Genomic DNA, 19,627 nt, shown 5'->3' with positions numbered 1-19,627 from the left:
TGCAAAATGACTTTGCAATATTTTTATTTTTATTTCCTTTGAGACAGAGTCTCGCTCTGTCGCCCAGGCTGGAGTGCAGTGACGTGATCTCAGTTCACTGCAACCTCCGCCTCCCAGGTTCAAGTGATTCTCCTGCCTCAGCCTCCCAAGTAGCTGGGACTATAGGTGCATGCTACCACGCCCGGGTAACTTTTTTTTTTTTTTGAGATGGAGTCTTGCTCTGTTACCCAGGCTGGAGTGCAATGGCGTGATCTCGGCTCACTGCAAGCTCCGCCTCCCAGGTTGACGCCATTCTCCTGCCTCAGCCTCCTGAGTAGCTGGGACTACAGGCGCCCGCCACCACGCCCGGCTAATTTTTTGTATTTTTAGTGTAGACGGGGTTTCACCATGTTAGCCAGGATAGTCTCGATCTCCTGACCTCGTGATCCACCCGCCTCGGCCTCCCAAAGTGCTGGGATTACAGGCGTGAGCCACCACGCCTGGCCTACGCCCGGGTAACTTTTGTATTTTTTTAGTAGACACGGGGTTTCACCATGTTGGCCAGACTGCTCTCAAACTCCTGACCTCAGGTGATCCACCTGCCCTGGCCTCCCAAAGTGATGGGATTACAGGCATGAGCCACTGCACCCGGCCTGACTTCACAATATTAATTGGACATAAAATAGGAGAAAAACAAGGGGAAAAACTGGGACAACAGGAAGATCTGTTGTCCTAGTTTTGGAACAACAAAAATTTGGAAAATGAGAGCGCAGGCAAAGAGTGGAGAGTAAGGGGAAATGACAACAGAGGGAGCATGGGGAGAGGATGGAAGAAACAGACACAAGGGGAATGAGCAGAGGGAAGACAACAAATCACAGCAGAAGGGAAGGGATGAGAAGCAGGAGCCTTCAGAGGTCACAGGTCTACTACTGGATCACCTGATAATTAATTGGAAGGTTTATGTATACATTTAAAACATCATGTTCCATTTCTAACATTATTCATAAGTTCAAAAAAAGAACAGGTCTTTCATAGAAAATGATTAGTGGTATTAGCAGAAAGAAAGGAATAGTAAATATTTCTCCAATTCTGTGAGTTTTCTATCAACAAGCTGATGATTAACAAACAAGAAACTTTGTTTTGTTTTTGTTTTTGAGACAGGGTCTTGTTCTGTCAGCCAGGCTGGAGTACAGTGGCATGAGCACAGCTCACTGCAGCCTCGATCTCCTGGGCTCAAGTGATCCTCCTGCCTCAGCCTCCCAAGTAGCTGGGACTATAGGCCTGCACCACCCCGCCTGGCTAATTTTTAAATTTTTTTGTAGAGACAGTGGTCTTGCTATATTGCCCATGCTGGTCCTGAACTCCTGGCTTCAAGCGATCCTCTTGCCACAGCCTCCTCGAGTGTTGGGATTACAGGTGTGAGCCATTGTGCCTGGTCAAGGAACTTGTTTTGAACCTGGCAGGCTACAGGAATCTTCAGACACAGGAAATAGTTTCTATCCAACAAGGAGAGGAACACAGAGCTGACAGTGCTCAAGTAACAGAGGAGTAGGTGGAAAAAAGTGGTTACGACATTAGTAAAAATAATTAAACCCTTCACTGACTGACACAGAATAACTCAGAACAAAAAAGAAACAGAAAACAATGCTGGAGACCAGGTGCAGTGGCTCACTCCTGTTAAATCCCAGAACTCCAGGAAGTGGAGACAGGTGGATCACTTTAGCCCAAGGGTTTTGAGACCAGCCTAGGCAACATGGCGAAACCTCTTCTCTACAGAACATGTAAAAATTAGCTGGGCATGGTGATGCATGCCTGTAGTCCCAGCTACTTGGGAGGCTGAGGTGGGAGGATTGCTTGAGCCTGAGAGGTCGAGGCTGCAGTGAGCTGTGATCGCAGCACTGCATGCCAGCCTGGGAAACAGCAAGACCCTGTCTCAAAAAAAAAAAAAAAAAAAAAAAATCATCTAGTACAAAGAGCAAGTACCAAGAGAAATTATAAGCCCCATTTATGCCTGATCAAAAATAGAACTTGATGTTTCATTAGTAACATCCTTCATGTTCACGCTTTATTCACACTCCCTTTGCCCTCTCCAGGTAGAAGCTTGCTGTGGACCTCCCTATTGCTGTACTCACGTGAGGGCTTCTTTGCAGCACTGTCCTGAGGGGTTAAGATCCAGCAGAGACAAATGGAAATGTCTGCCAACAGTGTCACCTTGTCTTATCTGGCTGATGCCTCTTGAACTTCCTCGTTCTTACTACACATCCAGGACCCAGAGCTCTTCATAGAAAATCACCATTAAGTTTGGAAGCTGGGAATCCTCATCACAAGGACAGTCCAGGTGCAAGTTCGTGGAATTACACAAAGCAGTGTATTGGAATCACACTAATCACACAGGATGGAAGAAGACAGAAAGCCAACAGAAGGATGCTTGGTAGTTTCGGGAATGTGGTACCGGGACAATGGGTTGGGATTAGACGGATGATCAGTTCGCCTGGTCATCTCTGCTAGGAAAGATATTCCCCCGACAGAGGCACCTAAATTGTAATCCATGGGAACGGAGCAGAACTGCCTCCCAGGCAACTGAGTGGCTGAAGAGGTGAGGACTTGGAACTCAATTATTTCTGATTTTAAAGAGCAAAAACTACTTAGCAATAAAAAACCCACCTGGAATCAGGGTCACAGTACCATGCTTCTGGAGTTAAATGAACACAAACATTCTCACTTTCCATCTGGTCTACAAAAGGGGATAGGTAGTCTCTAACTCCTCAACACTCAATTGAACACATCAGAGATCCCACAGCTAACACACAGAGAGACAAAACCATCTTATCAGACAGTAAGCCTGCATCCGTCTTACCCTGGGGAAATGCGCTCCCATAATTCTCCTGCCTGTTGTCCCTACTGAGATTCCTCCGAGCCAGATTCTGACATCCCCATTCCTCCAGAATGAGGGACACAGCCATGTCCTCGATCTTCACCATTGCCTAAAATAACACGAGACAAACAGTCATTTCCCCCCAAACTCAGGGACAATCCCATTGCTCAAACCTGGAGTCAGGAAGAGAGGTGGCTGCAAAGCTACAGGACGCTGGGAAGAAAAGGGTGGCCAGAACCTGGGGGTGGAGGGGAGTTTGTGGTAGAAAGATGCTAAAAGGAGAGGACAGGGTTGGGGCTTCTTTGAGAGCAGGGGCATCCAGAGTGGCCTGTGGAGATAATGAAGAGAGCTCAGGAACAGAGGCAGACACTGAGGACTCAGGAGAGCAGAGGGGCCACAGCTCACCTGGGAATCCGCTGTGAATAGTGCAGATGCCATCGCCTGGTCTCTGGGACTACCCTCATGAGGGGGTGCAGGAATGTGGGCAGCAGGAAGAGCTGGGGGAGGAGAAAGGGTCTGTGAGTAAATCAGCTCCGCTCTGAGCCTTGCTCAAAGAAGGGCTCGGGGCATGTTCCTTCCTGCACCAGCATGTTCACTGTTCAGTGTTTAGGTCCCAAATACAGAATTCCAGACAACACAAACGAGAGAACACAGGGCCTCAGTTTTCCCAAGACCTCTACTCTTGAGCAGGAGTCATAAAAGGGTCCTAATCACCTGGTCCAACCCTTTTATTTTAAAGAAGGGGAAACTTGAGTCCCTGAGACTGCAAATGACTTCCCTAATGTCACATTCCCAGTGGCAGAGCCAGGATGGGGACCCAGGTTCCTATTCTCAGCTATAAAAGTGGGTACCTTCAGCCCATAGCTCAAGTCTGGCTCCTAATTTCCTCCAGTCCAAGGAACGATACCAGGATATGAGAATCCCATTTATGCCTACACTTGTGGAAAACACAACACAGCTTTAAAATCTTTAGTGGCAGGTGAGGCGGGAGGATTGCTTGAGCTCAAGGGGTCGAGGCTGCAGTGAGCTATGATCACGCACTCCAGCCTGGATGATAGAGTGAGACCCCGTCTCAATGAAATCCAGAAAAACAACAACAAAAAAAACACTTTAGTAGCAATATCCAGAAAGGCAGGGAAGTAAGGAGGTCTCCTTAGCTCTGGGTAAGTTTTTTTTTTTTTTTTTTTTTTTTTGAGACAGAGTTTTGCTCTTGTTGCCCAGGCTGGAGTGCAATGGTGCGATCTTAGCTCATCGCAACTTTCGGCTCCCGGGTTCAAGTGATTCTCCTGCCTCAGCCTCCAGAGTAGCTGGGATTACAGGCATGAGCCACCACGCCCAGCTAATTTTGTATTTTTAGTAGAGGCGGGGTTTCTCCATGTTGGTCAGGCTGGTCTCGAACTCCTGACCTCAGGTGATCTGCCCGCCTCGGCCTCCCAAAGCTCTGGGATTACAAGTGTTAGCCACTGTGTCCGGCCACCTCTGGCTAAGTTTTTGCCAGTTTTTGTCCCTCTACTTTTCTCCCTCACTTGGCCACAATAAATACTGTTTTTTTTTTTTTTTTTTGATAAGATGTATGCATGGTTCAAATGCTGAGACAAAAGTTGGGGCTGACACACAACAAAAGACATGCATAACATTATCACGTGATCACAATAACTGTGATGCATAACAATTATGAAAATTTTAAATTGTGCAATTTAACCCCCTCCCCATCTCTTGCCAAGTACTATTAGATTTGGAAATGTTACTGGTAGACAGATGATGTTAGTGAGATACAAGGATATTTGAGAAATGAATTTGAAACTGAATGACCAAACCTTGTACCTATTTCAAACCTTTATACAACAATAAGATAGGCTCTCTGTCACCCAGGTTGGAATGCAGTGCTCAAACATGTCTCACTGCAGCCTTGACCTCCCAGGCTCAAGTGATCCTCCCACCTTGGTCTCCCCAAATGCTAGGATTACAGGTGTGAGCCACTGTACCCAAGTACTTTTTTTTTTTTTGGAGATGGAGTCTCGCTCTATCACCCAGGCTGGTGTGCATGGCGCGATCTCGGCTCACTGCAACCTCCCCTCCTGGGTTCAAGTGATTCTGCTGCCTCAGCCTCCCAAATAGCTGGGACTACAGGTGCCTGCCACCACGCTCAGCTAGTTTTTGTATTTTTAGTAGAGACGGGGTTTCACCATGTTGGCCAGGATGATCTCGATCTCTTGACCTTATGATCTGGCCACCTCAGCCTCCCAAAGTGCTGGGATTACAGGCGTGAGTCACTGCGCCCAGCCCCAAGTACTTAATTTTTTAAACTTCTGAGAGTAAGGAAACACTCTGGAAAACAAATAAGAAAGAGGAAATTGAGAATAAATGTACATGTCTCAATTTATTTAAGAACTATTTACTAAAGAGCAACTGTGTGTGCCAGGATCTTTGAAACTGTTACTCTGGCAACCTAAACTCTATAATCTAGTGCTTAAGACCATGAATATCCTCTCCAGTTTCCTAAGGTCGCCCTGTGACTTCTGCTTGTAGAGTGTGGAGAAACCTTACAAGAACATCAACAGTAGTGGAGTTAAACATCACGGTGCACCGGTGTTTTTTTTTTTTTTTTTTGAGACAGCATCTCCCTCTGTTGCCCAGGCTGGAGTGCAGTGGCGCAATCTCGGCTCACTGCAAGCTCCGCCTCCCGGGTTCACGCCATTCTCCTGCCTCAGCCTCCTGAGTAGCTGGGACTACAGGCACCCGCCACCATGCCTGGCTAATTTTTTGTATTTTTAGGAGAGACGGGGTTTCACCGTTAGCCAGGATGGTCTCAATCTCCTGACCTTGTGATCCTCCTGCCTCGGCTTCCCAAAGTGCTGGAATTACAGGCGTGAGCCACCACGCCTGGCCACGGTGCACCAGTTTACACAGCTTTCTCTAGCACATACCTGCTGGCTGTCCTCCAGGATGCACGGAAGAGAGGATGCATCCTTAAGCTCCATGTCTAATATTCCTTAAATGTCATCACCAATAAACACACTGGTTAAGGAATGTGCCTCGACCAATTCTTTTTTTTTTTTTTTTGAGATGAGTGTTGCTCTGTCGCCCAGGCTGGAGTGCAGAGGAGCCATCTTGGTTTGCTGCAACCTCCACCTCCCGGGTTCAAGCGTTCTTGTGTCTCAGCCTCCTGAGTAGCTGCGATTACAGGTGTACACCACCACAACCAACTAATTTTTGTATTTTTAGTACAGACGGCGTTTCGCCATGTTGGCCAGGCTGGTCTTGAACTCCTGACCTCAAGTGATTTGCCCACCTTCGCCTCCCAAAGTGCCAGGATTAGAGGCGTGGGCCACTGCGCCTGGCCTTTTTTTTTCTTTTTTGAGATGGAGTTTTGCTCTGTTGCCTAGCTTGGAGGGTGTATGAATTTTTAACAAAAAAAGCTTAAAAAGTATAAAATAAAAATTTTTTTAACTAGAAAAACCCCTATAGAATAGGGGGATAAAAAATGTTTTTGTATAGCTGTGCAACATGTTTGTCTTTTGAGTTATGTTATTACAACAGTCAAAAAGTTAAAAAAATCAAAAAGTTCATAAAGTAAAAAAGTTACAGTAAGCTAATTTATTATTTGTATTTATTTATTTATTTTTTTTTTCTGAGACAGAGTCTCACTCTGTCACCCAGGCTGGAGTGCAGTGGTGCAATCTTGGCTCACCACAACCTCTGCCTACAGGTTCAAGCAATTCTTGTGCCTCAGCCTCCTGAGTAACTGGAATTACAGGCATGCACCACCACGCCTGGCTAATTTTTTTATTTTGTAGAGACAGTGTTTCACTATGTTGGCCAAACCAGTCTGAGACTCCTGGCCTCAAGTAATCCGCCCACCTTGGACTCCCGAAGTGCTGGGATTAAGCCATGAGCCACCATGCCTGGCTGATTTATTATTGAAGAAACAAAAATTTTAAAGATAAATTTAGTGTAGCCTAAGTGTACAGTGTTTCTACAGTCTATGGTAGAGTAGTGTCCTAGGCTTTCACATTCACTCACCACTCACTCACTGACTCATCCAGAGCAACTTCCGGTCCTGCAAGCTCCAGTCATGGTTAAGTGTTCCATACAGGTGTACTTTTTTTTTTTTTTTTTTTTTTTTTGAGATGAGTTTCACTCTTGTTGCTCAGGCTGGAGTGCGATGGCATGACAATGGTGCGATTTTGGCTCACCGCAACCTCTGCTGCCTGAGTTCAAGCAATTCTCCTGCCTCAGCCTCCTGAGTAGCTGGGATTATAGGCACCTGCCACCAGGCCTGGCTAATTTTGTATTTTTAGTAAAGACGGGGTTTCTCCACGTTGGTCAGGCTGATCTCGAACTCCTGACCTCAGGTGATCTGCCTGCCTTGGCCTCCTAAAGTGCTGGGATTATAGGTGTGAGCCACTGCGCTCAGCCAATTTTTGTATTTTCAGTAGAGACCGGGTTTTAACATGTTGGCCAGGCTGGTCACAAACTCCTAACCTCAAGTGATCCACCCACCTTGGCCTCCCAAAGTGCTGGGATTACAGGCGTGAGCCACTGTGCCTGGGCTAAAAATCTTTTATACTCTGTTTTTACTTTTTCGATGTTTAGATACACAAATACTTACCACTGTGTTACAATTCCCTACAGTGTTTAGTACAGTAACATACTGTACAGCTTTGTAGCGTAGGTGTGGAGAAGGCTAGACCATCTAGGTTTGTATAAGTATACTTTATGATGTTCGCACAACAAAATCACTTAACATTGCACTTACCATAACTTATCCCTGCCATTAAGTGATAAATGTACTTTTAGCATTCCTTGTCTTTACATTCTAAGCACATACTTTGATTTTAAAACTGGATAAATGTATTACATATTTCCGTCAAAAGAGAAAAAACAAGTAACATGACTTTTTATTTATATGACTGTGAACTGATCTTTTTTCGTGTTCCTCAACTCCCCTCAAAAGTTCTTCCATTCTTTTCCCATTGTTTGAAATTTCTGAAAATAACCTAGAAAAGACTGATGCTATAGTTTTTTTTTTTTTTTTTGGAAACAGACTCTCTGTCACCCAGGCTGCAGTGCAGTGATTATTTTTATATATTTTAAATAAAATGGACCTTTAAAAAAGATTTATGATCCTTTTGAAGATAATTCATGACATACTAAAATGTTTTAAAACCTAGGCTGAAAATAATGACATCTGTTCCCAATACTTTCCTATTAAAAATGTGCTGGACATCTGGAATGCTGATAATTCAATAAATAATGCCTACCAGGTTCATTACGCATAGTTCATTTGCCTTCGTAGTAACATTTAACTCCTGAGATTGGTCTGTAAGTTGTATTTTCCCCAATATTTGGTAATAATGACAACAATGTAGAATAACTAAAAACAAAAAACAAGCATGCAGCTTTTTTTCATTTTTTTTTAAATTTTTAATTAATTCTTTTTTTTTTTTTTTTTTTTTTAAGACAGTCTCGCTCTGTCACCAAGGCTAGAGCACAGTGGTACGATCTCGGCTTACTGCAACCTCCACCTCCTGGGTTCAAGTGATTCTCCTGCCTCAGCCTCCCGAGTAGCTGGGATTACAGGAATGTGCCACCATGCCTGGCTAATTTTCATATTTTTAGTAGAGACAAGGTTTCACCATGTTGGCCAGGCTGGTCTCAAACTCCTGACCTCAAGTGATCTGCCCGCCTCAGCCTCCCAAAGTGCTGGGATTACAGGTGTGAGCTACCGTGCCGAGCCTAATTCTTTTCTGTAAGTAGCTTTTGAGACAGGGTCCTTGCTGTGTTGCCCAGGTTGGAGTAGTGGCATGATTACAGCTCACTGCAGCCTCAACCTCCTGGGCTCAAGCAATCCTCCCACCTCAGCCTCCTGCGTAGCTGGAATCACAGGTGTGCGCCACTATACCTGGCTAATTTTTCTATTTTTTGTAGAGATGGGGTCTCGCTACGTTGCCCAGGACTAACATGCTTCTTCATCACAGGCACTCAGCAGCACAAAGACTCTCGTCCTGAATCATTTCCCTTCCCCTAAATGAAACCTTGCTTCTTACCTCGTGACTGTAAGAGGCGGGGTTTCCGAGACGAATGTTTGAAGTGGGACTGGGTGGCCTCGTGATGAAGGTCAAAGCTCGAGGACTCCTGAACTGGATCCAGAGGCACCATCCCCCTTGCGAGCATCTCAGGTCCATGAACTTGACCTGGGACCTGAAGACAGACAGGTTGGGCTTGTGGGTAAATCACTTTGTAAATGGGAATTAAAATATTTAAAAACAGACCATGAGTATGCCAGTGGATGCAGGAAGAAAGCCAGAACATTTTTAAGACAGAGTAACCACCTAATAACCTAAAGCCTGCCAATACTTCTCCTGGCTCCAGTTTCAACGTCTGTGCCCTGCTCACACATAATAGGTTTCACCTCTTTTTACCTGTTGTCCTGATAAATCAAGCTCCAAGTCTTCTAGAAGGGTCACGGCCTCCTCTCCACTATCGGGGCGGTATTCCTGCAGCCAGACCTGGAGCTCCTTGGGCAGGATGGAAAGAAACTGCTCTAGCACCAGAAGCTCCAGGATCTGTTCCTTGGTGTTTATTTCTGGCCGCAGCCACTGATGACAAAGTTCCTTCAGCCGACTGAGAGCCTCTCGGGGCCCAAAAGTGTTCTGGTAACAGAAGCGCCTGAAGCGTTGGCGGAATATCTCTGGGTCTGGAGGAGGCGTGTCCTGTAGGGTGGAATCCTGCCCCCACATGTGGTCTTCCTCATCTTCCTCTTCCACCTTCACTATTACGATACCATCCTTCTCCTGTGCAGCCTGTGGGGACAGACCCGTGGCTTCCCGTGATTCAGCAGTCATCATTCAGGCTCCAGGAACTGACTTGATCCAAACAGGGTCTGTGCTCACCTTTATGTCCTGGGAGGTTTTATGATGTGTTTCTTTACTATTCCTGAAGTATAAAAAAAAAGTCATTAGTACGTACCTTTACAAAAAGTGATCTGTGCTGCTAACACTTTATAGGAGGCAGCACATCGAGGCACTATCAGAACGCTCCTGAGGCCGGGGGTGGTGGCTCACGCCTGTAATCTCAGCACTTTGGGAGGCCGAGGCAGGCCAATCGCCTGCGGTCAGGAGTTCAAGACCAGCCTGGCCAACATGGTGAAACCCCGTCTCTACTAAAAATACAAAAGTCAGCAGGGCATGGTGGCAGGCGCCTGTAATCCCAGCTACTCGGAAAGCTGAGGCAGGAGAAACGCTTGAACCCAGGAGGTGGAGGTTGTAGTGAGCCGAGATTACGCCACTGCACTTCCTACCTGGGAGACAAGAAGTTAAACTCCGTCAAAAAAAAAAAAATCCTGACAAATCGAGGAAAAAACTGTACAATCTCCACTGTCACTTCATATATCAAGATTTGCAAACAGAAACCTCAAACAGGCCGACTCCACCCTCAGGGTGTTTGCTTGGAGTCAGAGTGATTTACCTGCAGGTTGACAGCAGGTTACGAAATGGAGCATTAACAGTGCCCAGCCCAGAGAGCTGAATGTTAGCAGAGTGCCAGGTGCCAGGCTTAAAGCAGTACACGCACCATCTTCTTTTGTCCCTACAACAGCCCTAGCAGGTCGGCCAAACTGTTAAGTGCTGTTTTACAAATGACATAACTGAGGGTTAGGTTTGCTCAGTAGTAGGTGGCTGCCTACTGGAGTCAATATTCAACCAAATTTGAAGCCCTGGGACCTACTTTTGTACCATCCAGCTACTTTTGCTATTTTTATGAGTGACTTGGGCAGTTAAATTGTGGTTTCCAAAGTACAAGATGATCCGCAAAGGATACAGAAAGAAAATAATTGGAATGTCTGTATCTTAAAAGAGAGAGAAATTAAGCTATAAATTGACACTAATACACTTACTTAGTCTGTGCTGACCTGTCACAGGTGTTGTTCATTTTAGACATTGTGATGTAGACTGGTTTATCTGAGACCAGTTATGTGAAATAATGGATTTCTAAATCTAGCTTTGGCTGGGCGCAGTGGCTCATGCCTATAATCCCAAAACTTTGGGAGGCCAAGGCGTGCGGATCACGAGGTCAGGAGATCGGGACCATCCTGGTCAACATGGTGAAACCCTGTCTCTACTAAAAATAGAAAAATTAGCTGGGCGCGGTGGCGGGCACCTGTAGTCCCAGCTACTTGGGAGGCTGAGGAAGGAGAATCACTTGAACCCAGGAGGCGGAGGTTGCAGTGAGCCGAGATCGCGCCACTGCACTCCATCCTGGCCACAGAGCGAGACTCTGTCATAAAAGAGACAAGCAGCTTTAAAGATTCTTGTGGCCAGATATGGTAGCTCATGCCTATAATTCCAGCCCTTTGGGAGGATGAGGCAGGAGGATGCTTGAAGCCAGAAGTTTGAGACCAGCCTGGGCAACATAGCAAGACCCTGTCCCTATGAAAAAGAAAAAAATTAGCTGGGCATGGGGACTGTGTCTGCAGTCACAGCTACTCAGGAGGCTAAGGTGGGAGGATTGCATGAAACCAGAAGTTTGAGGCTGCAGTCAGCTACGATCACGCCACTGCATTCCAGCCTGGGTGACAGAGCAAAGCCCTATCAGGAAAAGGAAAAAAAAAAAAAAAAAGATTCTTATAGAGAAACTGCAATTACAGGACACACTAATAATATAAACAGATGTGAACAAGAAGAAAATGGCACAGATGAAGCTTCTATCTAGAGTAAGGTTTTAGCCACATTAGGAGGTAAAAACCAATGTCAGTCTAAATCAAAGAAAAAGTCACCAATGAGTAATCAGCTTCTTTAAAGAAAGTGTGAAGAAAGGGCAATTACAGGAACAGCTGTATGAAATGGTTCCATTGTTATGTAATTTAACTGCCAAAAATGATGTCAAGTATCCAGGAAAAACCCATCTATGTTCACATTTTAGAAACTTGGGGCTGGGTGAGGTGGCTCATGCCTGTAATACCAGCACTTTGGGAGGCTGAGGCAGGGAGCAGGGGGCCACCTGCGGTCAGGAGTTCAAGACCAGCTTGGCCATCATCGTGAAACCCCGTCTCTACTAAAAATACAAAAAATTAGCTGGGCATGGTAGCAGGCGCCTGTAATCCCAGCTATTTGGGAGACTGAGGCAGGAGAATCGCTTGAACCCAGGAGGCTGAGGTTGCAGTGAACTGAGATCACGCCATTGCACTCCAGCCTGGGTAACAAAGTGAGACTCCATCTCAAAAAAAAAAAAAAAAAAAAAAGGAAAAAAAAAAGAAACTTGGAAATATTTTCTAACCTGTTTAAAAATCTTTCAAATGAAGAATTTCAGGTGGGTCTTAAGCCTATTTGTTAAAAATATAAAATGCCACCACCTGATTAGTTTGTAAGACTATACCCTGCATTTCAACAACAAAAATTCAGCATGGTTGATAGGTTGGATCAATCACAAGTTACTAAGCAGAACTGACACTGTGATTCTTCCATCTGAAGCTACAAATCTTTCTGAATTTATTCTTTTCACCTCTACAGCCATCAAAACTAAGCATCAAATTGAAGTTTTAGAAACAGACCATTAAACTGCTTTATCATGATGGGTTAAACCGAGTTTTAAACTAGCAAAAGCATTTTTAGTTTTATGGCTCTCACTAAACATATTCTTAATTTTGGTGAAAAAGGGATCATGTACATATAACAGCACAAAAATTATATATACATATATATTGAAACGGAGTCTTGCTCTATCGCCCAGGCTGGAGTGCAATGGCATGATCTCAGCTCACTGCAACATCCGCCTCTCGGGTTCAAGTAATTCTCCTGCCTCAGCCTCCTGAGTAGCTGGGATTACAGGCCATACTTATTTTTTTTAATCTAGTTCCATGAAGTCCAGCTTCCTTTCTTTGGTTCCCTGCCTTCATTTTCTCCCTTCTCTCCCACAATCCACCTTTCAGATTATTCTTTCTAAAACTCTACAGCCTTGCAGTTAATACTTTCCAGTGCCTGGTCCCAATTTTCCCTCAAGCTTCTTTTCCCATCAATCCCCCCATAAACCTTCCCTATGCAACAAAAGCCCTCTCATCAGTATTTCCTATATATGCCTTGTATTTTGACTGCCATCCTTTCCTCACATCACACTCCATGCCTGGGACTTCCCCCCGCAGTCCTCTCTGCCTTTTCAAATCCTACTTAACCTTTAAAGCTAGCTAAAACGCGACTTGCCTCTTATCACTGTTCAAGAACCCTCTCATAACTATAACAGTAAGAGCCAATGTTTACTGAGTGCTTTCTAGGTACCGGGTATTTAAGCATTTTCACTTGACCACATAACAATCTTAGCAGGTAGCTACACTTATCATCTCACTGTATAAAGAACTGAGAGGCTGAGCGCAGCGGCTCATGCCTGTCATCCCAGCACTTTGGGAGGCCAAGGCAGATAGATAACCTGAGGTCAGGAGTTCGAGACCAGCCTGGATAACATGGCAAAACCCCATCTCTACTAAAAATACAAAAATTAGCCAGGTGTGGTGGTGCAATGCCTGTAGTCCCAGCTACTCGGGAGGCTGAGGCAGGAGAGTTGCTTCAACCTGGGAGGCGGAGGCTGCAGTGAGCTGAGATTACACCACTGCACTCCAGTCTGGGCAACAGAGTGAGACTCCATCTCAAAAAAAAACAAAAGAAGAACTGAGATATACTGCCATTAAATAACTTACTCAAGGTCACACAGCAAGTATATGGTAGAGGCAGAATTTGAAATAAAAGTGATTCCCCAATGTAAACTCTTTAACCATTATACAAAATTTATCTTGTACCTGACATGTGGGGTATACAGATCCTAAAATGAAGGCCTATGAACGTGACAATGAAGAATCAATCAGGGCCAGGCACGGTAGCTCACGCCTGTAATCCCAGCACTTTGGGATGCCAAGGAGGGTCGATCACCTGAGCTGAGGAGCTCGGGACCAGCCTGGCCAACATGACGAAACCCCGTCTCTACTAAAAATACAAAAATTAGCTGGATGTGTGGCACATACCTGTAATCTCAGCTACTCGGGAGGCTGAGGCAGGAGAATCACTTGAACCTGGGAGGTGGAGGGTGCAGTGAGCTGAGAACGCGCCACTGCACTCCAGCCTGGGTGACAGAGAGAGACTCCTTCTCAAAGAGAAAAAAAAATCACTCAGGAACGGGCCTTATCTACCACCCAGTTTTCACTGGAGGGTCACTATGTGACTGAAGCCCTTCCTGGGAAAGGGAGGAGACACAGCAGAAGATTCAAGTGGGGACTGTCTACAACATAACCAGGTGGGATCTTCAAACATGGTAACTGAGCAGAACTAGTGTGATAGCGAGCCCAGCCACCAGAAATCCCTACTTTTGTGAAAGTTTTATCCTGCCTTAGCTATTGAGCAGGACACTTCTTGGGTCAGTGCGAAGATGCGACTCTAAGGAGGAAATGAGTCCAGGGGGAAATAGACACAGACATGGGCACATTCCCTCTGCCCACAACTGGGACAGATCCTCCTCCTCACCTTCAGTATCTCTCTGCTCCTACTCTGGGGTGCAGGGAAAAGCCATCACAGCAGTGGAAAGGCTGGGTTTTATTTGAGGTTTCCCAGATGATCTGAGCACATACTCTTCTGTCTCTAAAGGCCCTAATACTCTTCACCAAACATTTGCTAGGTAATTTCTCATGATGCGCCGGGCGCAGTGGCTCATGCCTGTAATCCTAGCACTTTGGGAGGCTGAGGTGGGCGGATCACGAGGTGAGGAGATCGAGACCATCCTGGTAACACGATGAAACCCCGTCTCTACTAAAAATATAAAAAATTAGCTGGGTGTGGTGGCGGGCGCCTGTAGTCCCAGCTACTTGGGAGGCTGAGGCAGGAGAATGGCGTGAACCCGGGAGGCTGCGATTGCGCCACTGCACTCCAGCCTGGGTGACAGAGCGAGACTCTGTCTCAAAAAAAAAAAAAAAATTTCTCATGATGTTTCTTTCTCTGTAATTTTTCTTGCCTTCTTCCTCAACTAGATTATTAAGAGCAGTCCTCTTTGTACTCCTTAGACCACTTAGCATGATTCCTTGCAAGCCTCAGTTTCAAAAATACACTTGACTGAATTGACAACGTTACTATTTTTTAAAAGCCCGATCATTCTACATTCAATGTTGCACTCAAATTTGTTCCATGGACTAGTTGGATGAGTTTCAGGTTAGCATTAAAGCTGCTCCACCCCTTACTAGTTGACGGCCTTAGGCAAGTCAACAAGTTAACCTCTCTATGCGTCAGTTTCCTCATCTGTATAATGGGAATAAAAATCAGCATTTGTCCCATAGAGTTGCCGTGAGGATTAAATGAGGTAATAGATATAAAGCACTTAAAATAGTGCCTGGCATTTAGTAGGCACTACAGAAATGTCTTAATTTTTTTCAATAAGCTTAAAAGATGTAACTGTACATTCCAATTTTCAGCCTGCTTAGAAGATTAAGCAATGGGACAACTCCTGTAATAGTGAAAGCTGCACAGGCAATAACTGAATTCTAGTCTCCCACAAGTAAGTGGCACATCCCTGAGAGAGGTATTTAACTTCTCTGGCATTTTGTATCTTTATCAGTCAAATGGGGGTAGGGTGGGGGTTCCAGATAGTAGGAAACTACCTCTGGGTGAATATGGGCTGAAAAACATACTGACATACCATCCACTTTAAATAAAATTACCTCCAGCAGCTAAGGATACCTCAGTTCTCACCTAGGATAAACAGAAATGATTTTCTTAAACAACGGCTTGAAGTTACAAGCTCAAAGGCTGTGTTCCAAACAGCCCAGTATTTTTCCAGGGCATAGTCTTGAAAATGTAAACAAAGGCTGGGCACACAGTGGCTCACGCCCGTAATCCCAGCACTTTGGGAGGCTGAGGTTGGCGGACTGCCTGAGATCAGGCGTTCGAGACCAGCCTGGCCAACATGGCGAAACTCTGTCTCTACTAAAAATACAAAAATCAGCCAAGCCTTGGGACACATGCCTGTAGTCCCAGCTATTCGGGAGGCGGAGGCAGGAGGATCGCTTGAACTCGGGAGGCAGAGGTTGCAGTAAGCCGAGATCGCACCACTGCACTCCAGCCTGGGCGACAGAGCAAGACTCTGTCTCAAAAAAAAAAAAATTTTTTTTTAAATAAATTGCCCTTTGCCCTTTACACTCATTTTTTTAAAGAGCAATCAAATGTTTTAATATGAAAAAGCTACCTTAAAAGACAGCTAGCTATTCAAAGAATATTGATACTCCCACAGAATGAAAATGTTAGATTTAATATGCTATTCATCTGTATTTTAAATGCTTTTAAATCGAGAATGAGCAAAAGACTAAGTAGCTAGCTTCCTCGTTTGTATTTTAAGAGTGGTGAAAACTGCCTGAAATAATAAACAAGAATCTTATATGTTAATTCAGAGAAGATACAAACCTGGATACACATTCTGGGGCAAATCACCATGGTTTCCTATGTAAAACAGCGATTTCTCCACATTTGTTCAGCATATATACTAACAGTGCTTTGCTGATGTGGTTACAATGAATTCTCCACAATTCAATTCAACAAGTATTTATTGACCGCCTCCAATCCGCCTAGCACTGGCCCGTACAATAAATGCTTTCTTTGGTCCCAGGCCATGGAACAGCCACTCTCTATAATGAAAGTATCTTACTGTGTACAGGGGGCACTGCAGGAAAGGGAGGGGAGGGATGGAGGAGTGTCAAGCTAAACTGTAGTTAATTCTTCAATTACATTGACCAAATCATTTCGAAGTCGGAAGGGCCTTTTGAGAAAATCCAGTTAGTTTTTATTGATGACGAAATTAAGACTTGGTGAGTGTCTCGTCTTATCCAAGGTCACTCAGCTAATCAGTCTCCTAGTGACACAGTGCAATTTCCACAAATTCCCTTCACTTCTCACCCCACTCCATGTCAAACAGAGCAACTATCCAGAATTGAAAAATCCACCTAACGTCCCGGACAGCTCTTTTCCAAAGCCTTCAAAGCATTCCATCAAGCTGAAAGAGTGGGGTGTATATAATCTCTACTAGATCCCAATCACCTATTTATCCACTATGACTAGGCTTCAAATACTCTTTAATCACCGCTCAGTGATGAGGGTGGGAGAAGGAAAGGCAGGTCTGGAAACGTATGCGGCACCTCAAAATGTGTCCATCTCTCATCCTTCCGCTCATTTCACCTCGAGGTCCCGAAGGAACCGGGGGGGGAAAAAGACACCTCACCGGAATCAAAGCAAATGGCGACTAAGGGAGAGCAGAAAAATCAAGACCGGGGTCGGTTCGCTCGCGACCCCGTTTGCAGAAACGTCAAAGGGCGATGACGACACTGCGGGAGAGGGGCCCACAGACGGCTTCTCCCCGGGTCTCCGGGCACCCTCAGCCACTGAAACCCTCGCCCCCTCCCCGCCTGATCCTGGGGGTGGGGCGGGGACGTCTCCCAGGAAGAACGGCGCTTTCTACGGCCGGGCCCGGCCAGGAGGCAGGGGCATGGACTCTCTTCGCACAACAGCGGGGCCGCCTGGAGGGGGTCCCAGGGCCGCAGCTGCGGAGCCCACCCTCGCGCACACACCCTTGCGGCCCCGCCCTCCCACCCCAGAGGCCGGCCCCAAGTCTCACCGTGAGCCCCGGGAGCGGCCTGGGGGCGCTGGGCGAGAAAGGGGAGCTGACTCTGGGGCTCAGGCCGGCCGAAGGGCACCGCACACGGACTTAGGCCCTCCCGACGCCTCGACACAGACACAATGAGTCACAAAGGCCGGAAGCGTGTCACCACCTCGTCTTCCGGGACCGCGCCGCGCTTCCGGGTCCTCTCTAGGAGCGCGGGAGGACTTTGCATCTCGGTTTCCGAATCGCTGGACCAGGCGCCTGCCCTTGAGTTTTCAAGCCTCCAGCTTGGAGGATCAGGTCCCAGTCCGCCCCTAGTTAATGCAGGGACTAACGGGAGCAGGTGGTGGGGGGTTTCAGGCTTTCCCCTACTCAAACTCAAACAGACTCTCCAGCTCAGACACCAGTCCATGTGAAAGTTCGATTTCACCTGTCTTTTTCATCTCAGGCAGTCCTTGTAGTAATTATAGTTATTATCAAGCAATATAGTACTTGGTAATTGTATGTCTGTGGCAAAGGAACTGAAACAAGGATGTAGACTGAGGAAGATCAAAGTGAAGCCAAGGGTGGCTGGTTTCCCAAAGCTGCCACGGTAGCTTCTCTCAGGGCCCTGGAGCTATATGGAGTGGTATTTTCAAATACTTGGCCCGTGGACAAGGGATGTCTTTCCACAAGCAAGCATAGTTATAAGGTTCTGTGCTTTGCTCATGTGGCATATGCTATTATAGCCGTTTAAAAGGAGTTTTCAGAGTAACAACAGACACTTTTACCTTCAAAGTGCTTTCACAACCTACCACAGTTACAGCCTTCATCTTTGCCTTGCAGGGTAAGGCACGCATAAGAGGGGGCCACGTTGTGCAAGGGTGGGGGGGACTACAGGCTTTAATGGTTGTGACTTTCCACTATGTTCCGAGACAAGTTCATGGGAGAAACTCAGTAGCTTGGTTGCATGACTCTTACTGCTTGGAGAGATTTACTTTTTTTTTTTAGATGGAGTCTCGCTCTGTCACCCAGCCTGCAGTGCAGTGGCACCATCTTGGCTCACTGCAACCTCCACCTCCCAGGTTCAAGCGATTCTCCTGCCTTAGCCTCCTGAGTACCTGGGACTACAGGCGCACACCACCATGCCTGGTTAATTTTTGTATTTTTGGTAGAGAACAGGGTTTCACCATATTGGCCAGGATGGTCTCGATCTACTGACCTTGTGATCCACCCGCCTCAGCCTCCCAAAGTGCTGGAATTACAGGCGTGAGCCACCGTGCCCGGCCAGATTTACTTTTTAAAAAATGTTTGAAAACTAAAAAGCAATGACAGGGCCAGACACGATGACTCAAGCCTGTAATCTTAGCACTTCGGGAGGCTGGGACGGGAGGATTCTTGAGCCCAAGAGTTGGAGACCAGCCTAAGCAACGTAATGAGACCCTCTCTCTACAAAAAATACTAAAATTAGCTGGGTGCAGGGTAGTGTGTGCCAGTGGTCCCAGCTGCTTGGGAGGCTGAGGTAGAAGGATAGATTGAGCCCAGGAGGTTGAGGCTGCAGTGAGCTATGATTGTGCCATTGCACCCCAGTCTGGGCCACAGAGCAAGATCCCATCTCAAAAAAGAAAAAAAGGGCCGGGCACGGTGGCTCATGCCTGTAATCCCAGCAGTTTGGGAGGCCAAGGTGGGTGGATCACGAAGTCAAGAGATTGAGATCATCCTGGCCCATATGGTGAAACCCCGTCTCTACTAAAAATACAAAAATTAGCTGGGCGTGGTGGCACACGCCTATAGTCCCAGCTACTTGGGAGGCTGAGGCAGGAGAATCGCTTGAACTCCAGAGGCGGAGGCTGCAGTGAGCCGAGATCGTGCCACTGCTCTCCAGCCTGGGGACAGAGCTAGACTCTGTATCCAAAAAAGAAGCAACAACAGTATCATTAAAGGAAATTTGCAAAATGGAGAAAAATAATTACCGGTAATCTCTCCACCCTAACACAATCCCCATGGCTTTAGTTTACCTTTTTCCTGTTTTCATATACAAATAAATATTTATTGATATTATTTTAAACACTGTTCAAAACCATAGTTGCAGTTGTATTGAAGAGGAGGCTGGTATCCTGGAAGTATCTGCTACATTCATATCATGTGAACACTGTTTTTTAAGGAAGAGAAAATATA

At 46.0% G+C, this 19,627-nt stretch overlaps 1 protein-coding gene across 10 annotated transcripts in view, besides 1 other annotated feature; it reads right to left on the bottom strand.

Moving 5' to 3' along the window:
* The window catches only part of ZKSCAN1 (zinc finger with KRAB and SCAN domains 1), a 29,779-nt gene extending 12,163 nt beyond the window's left edge, over positions 1–17,616 (bottom strand). For 2 of the 10 annotated variants that reach the window (NM_001346579.2, NM_003439.4), the window contains exons 1-5: positions 17,486–17,616; positions 9,280–9,793; positions 8,905–9,058; positions 3,260–3,351; positions 2,837–2,963 (exon numbers count right to left, since the gene is read on the bottom strand). In NM_001346579.2, the coding sequence (NP_001333508.1) occupies positions 2,837–2,963; positions 3,260–3,351; positions 8,905–9,058; positions 9,280–9,705 (799 nt within the window). In that variant the 5' untranslated portion in view covers positions 9,706–9,793; positions 17,486–17,616. Of the gene's footprint in view, positions 1–2,013; positions 2,964–3,259; positions 3,352–8,904; positions 9,059–9,279; positions 9,794–10,157; positions 10,318–13,862; positions 13,982–17,485 lie in introns of those variants that run through there. The other 8 variants (NM_001287054.3, NR_144477.2, NM_001346581.2 and 5 more) reach the window with 8 other exon arrangements.
* Positions 17,361–17,530: a silencer, noted in NCBI's record as "silent region_18412". NCBI's record gives its function as "represses an Ori minimal core promoter by ATAC-STARR-seq in GM12878 lymphoblastoid cells {active_cell/tissue: GM12878}" and the evidence as "EXISTENCE:reporter gene assay evidence [ECO:0000049][PMID:35858748]".

This window comes from Homo sapiens, chromosome 7 (genome assembly GCF_000001405.40).
Source record: "Homo sapiens chromosome 7, GRCh38.p14 Primary Assembly".
NCBI lineage: Eukaryota > Metazoa > Chordata > Mammalia > Primates > Hominidae > Homo > Homo sapiens.
This window is presented reverse-complemented; position numbering and strand designations above follow the sequence as displayed.